Below are 4,119 nucleotides of genomic sequence, written 5' to 3'. Positions count from 1 at the left end.
GGTCAGCCTCCAAGCACAAGGAAAGGCAGGGAAGTATGGAGAATGGGTCTGGCTTGAGAGAAGGAGGAAGCAGAAAATAACAAGTAAAACAGCCACATAAGAAAGCAATGTAGTTTAATTATTTCTAATAAGCAAACCAAATAACCAATATCAAAACACTATTATACTCACTTTAAACAATTTTCTCTGGCTTTCTTTATCCCTAAAATCAAGTTATAAAGCCCTATATGGACAGTTGGCCTATGGAAGCCTATGTCCTTTCTCAACTGGGGTTCTTCTTCCAAACCCTGAAACACAGAAAATAACTTGAGAGGTCGTATTCTTAATTCTTATGAGGTCCATTACTAATACCATCTGAAGGAATAGGCAAGAAATTAATTTATTACCTATGATGGATGCTGTAGACATTAGGACTTGATTCCCTGGAGGAACCATGGGGAGGAATTCCAGAGACCCTAATGCTCTGGGCCTTATTCCTGGTGGAGTCTCTGACATGTAGACAGCATGTCAGCCTTTTTGAAACAGCTCCCATTCTGTCACCACTACAACCTCTCATTGATGGAAACATGCCATGGCTTTGCCACATCTTATGAAAATTAACGTTTTCCATAGGAAGACCTTATTTGCCTTGTGCTTGATGCAGAGCAGGGGGCAAATTGTATTTGGTGCATGAGTAAGTGAGTGAATGAATTAATAAATTATCATCAGTGCTGATAAGTTAGTTAATAATGCAACTCTCAAATGAAAGGTGTAAAAAATCTGGAAAAAAAAAACCATTGTGGGCATCTAACTTAAAACGAATTTAATTTTGGTGACTTGCAAAATAAAACAATTTGGAGGGGTATTTAAAAATTCTTCAAAAGGGACAATAAAGGCATCAATACAGTGGATTTCCTCACATGCTTGTCACTTTCAAACATTTTTTGCATTTCATTTTTTTCTTCCTGTGTCTTGAGTCACTTAACTTCCTTAAATGGCCAATTTTCTAACTCTGAGTATCATTTAATCCATTCATTGGCCACTTTCCCAATTCTTCTAAACATAAGCGCTCAAATTTAATAAAAATTCATGGCGTCCCATCTGTGTTTTAATATCAAACTTCTAGGGAAATCAACATGTGAAGTATGTTAAAGGCTGTGAGAAAACATGGTCATGTTAGGGGAAAATTGAAAAGAAGGTTCCAGGGAGAACCAATGCAGAGAAGCCATGTGTGCCCCTTCCTGGGCCCTCATTTTCCTGTGGCTGTGTGAAGGTAGTGAAAAGCAGCCAACACTGTCCCATTGAATTGGAAAGGGCATAAATTCAAGCCATGAATGTGTGAACTGCATTGTACCCTCTTTGTGAGCATCTCTGAATGCTACCCTGTTGTAAGCTTTTAATTTCATTCTATAATAATTCAGTTGCCAAAGTCTTTGTCCTTGCTTCCTAACATATGCCCCAAAGGCTTGTTTCATGCTAGCAGATGCCATTAAATATGTTTATTAAATTTAAAGATACAAAATATTTCCTACACCTGCATGTATGATATAATGCAGTTTCACAGTTTGATGGAATATCCCCTTAAGAAAGTATTGCATTGATTTCTATGTGGCATCAAATCATAGGCTTCTATAATTTCAAGAACTAATTAAGCAAATAGAAAGTAGTGCCTGTGGCTTAATCCTGTGATAAATCTGCATGAGCCCCAGACACTGGGGCATCTCTCGTTTGAATTTGCATTGGATCGACAAAATAAACTAAGTTCTGGAGGAGATACTTATGGTATAATTATAGCCTAAATATATGCATTAAGTAATTATTTCAGTAAACAAGAATTGCAGACTATTCATTGAACTGTAAGAAAGGGAAGATCTGTGAACTATATAAACTGTAAATGTTATTCCTTAGAAAGATTGTTCAATGAGCAGGTTAGAATTGGCGAAATTCCTAAGCAATGAGAAAATCTCTCACTTGTTTCCCATTGATATGCCACAAAAGAACCAAACTTGGAAACCAATGTGGTTTTTCGGGAATAACTGAATAGGACCCTCAGTGGTATGCTGTGTTCAGGAGTTGGCACGTTGTTCAGTTTTGTCCAATTATCAATAAGTGAGAGGGATTAGCTGTTGGTAATAGTGCAGTGGATAAAAGGCTCAGGTCATGAGCAGTGAATTTAGAAAAGTGAGAGTGTACTTAGAGGGGGAAAAGCTTTTCTAAATTAGCAATAAAATGAGATGATTAGGTTAACTGTTTAGTTCCTAAAGTGGATAAATCCTGGTGATATGAATTATACCCTGAGTGGTATGTCAAGGTTCATCTAACTTTCATTTTCTTGCTGCAAAATAATCACTTAGCCCTTCATCTAACAGGCAACCAAAAACTCTAGGTAAAATTTAAAGTGCCTTTGGAAATGGCAGAAAATGACCTTGAGAATAGAAAGGAGAAAAGACAGGCAAACAGGGAGGAAAAAAAAAAAAGTGAAATAGTTAATATAAAGTTTAGATTCAGATTAATGATTTTCTTTGTTTAAATGCCAGTGCTTGTATTCACATGAAAATCTGTCCTTAAAAGTACAGTTAGAACACATCAATCCTTAAGTGCTGCATACCAGAGATAAATGAAAACTCATTGTGTCAAGAAAAATGTTGATTTATGGCTGGCAGGAGCTGACTACTAGCTTTTTTTAATCATCATTTTGGGGTATTCGTTTAACAAGAAGAATGTTCAAAGGTAATTAAGAAAAGCAAAAAATTATGAATTTAGAATGCATTTTGAGACTTTTCTAATTATCCACCATATTCACATCACATTAGCTAAAAATTAAAGAAAAAAAGAGGTAAAAGAAACTTTTACTCTACTGCTCAGTCATTAAAAATTAACCTTTATTCACAGTACTTCAACAGATCATACTTGCTTCTGGGAGGTGATTCCAACTTAAAAGTGTCATGAACAAATGTCCTCTAACTTCAATGATCTCCTAAGTCACATCTAAAATACCGCCTACTGGACAAGCACAGTCTGGATATCTAAGACTATCCAAGAAATCTTAGTCTTTTAGAGCTTTCTAAACATGTAGAAGAAGCACATAGTTAAAATTTGTTAAAGGTTAACAACAGAAACCCCAGGCAATATGAAATCTGACATCATGCGTTATATAATTAACAGATAAAGTCCACCAAGCATTCATTCCTTTGTACTGTGTATGGCATAACACCGGTTGCAAATCCAATTCATAAGCTGTCTAAATGAATAATTTGTGGGAGAAGTGGTTAGAAAGATGCTAGCATTGTAATATATTTTCATTTTCGAATGCCGACTTTTCTGCAAGCTGGGCTCCTGGACATTGCTAGTTTCACTTCACTACACGGGAATTGATTTCAAGTTAGGTTAAATCTCCAAATAACACTATAGTCATGGAAATGTCCAATGGCTATTTTGTCGTAAAAATAACTGGCTTAGTCAGCTGCCTCTTTACTTACCTTTCTATTGTGTCTATGATAAGTATACCTAGCAGATAGTAGAGAGTCTTCTTTGTCTTTGTGATTTGATCTCTCGAGAAAAAAAACAATATGGAGTGAGGCAGATGGAGAACTCTATTTGATGTATAAAAATTTCCTTGTGTTATGTAGTTTCAGTATAGCTTCCATTTTGAAACTGATCATATTGGTACTAGAAAAACAAATGCACAAGTCATCCTTTAATCAAAAATTGCCCCCACACCCCATCTCACCCCCTTATCTTTAGTCCAATGACGTTTTCATTGCTCTAACATTATACCTCTTTTATTGACTGGACAACTTTTTTGAAACCCTAAAATATGACTAAGTTTTTATTGAAAGAAATGGAAACATATGCCATTATATAAAGTTTGAAATTTGGGTAAATTATTTAATAGGTTTTAGTTATACAGCCTGGTATATGTCTAGCATTTTTCAAACAAGTTGTGTTTATTGACAAGTTTTTTATGACTAGAAAAAAACGAGACTTACAAGAATATGAGAGGAGTCAGAATATTTGCTGTTGGATGTTGGAAGAAAATGAACTATTGGTAATAGATGGATTTCTTCAGTATGAAAAATCTTCAAAGACTGAAATCTGTTATGGCAGAAGTAATCCTTAACTTCACTTGTTCCAGTGAAG

General features: G+C 35.3%; 1 annotated feature.

Annotated features, from left to right (window-relative positions):
- Positions 501–3,910: an enhancer, noted in NCBI's record as "VISTA enhancer hs1526". NCBI's record gives its function as "enhancer in: forebrain[8/8]" and the evidence as "EXISTENCE:transgenic organism evidence [ECO:0001131][PMID:17130149]".

Source organism: Homo sapiens, chromosome 2 (genome assembly GCF_000001405.40).
Source record: "Homo sapiens chromosome 2, GRCh38.p14 Primary Assembly".
Classification (NCBI taxonomy): Eukaryota; Metazoa; Chordata; class Mammalia; order Primates; family Hominidae; genus Homo; species Homo sapiens.
The sequence above is the reverse complement of the archived record's forward strand: the minus strand, read 5'-3'. Positions and strand labels throughout refer to the sequence as shown.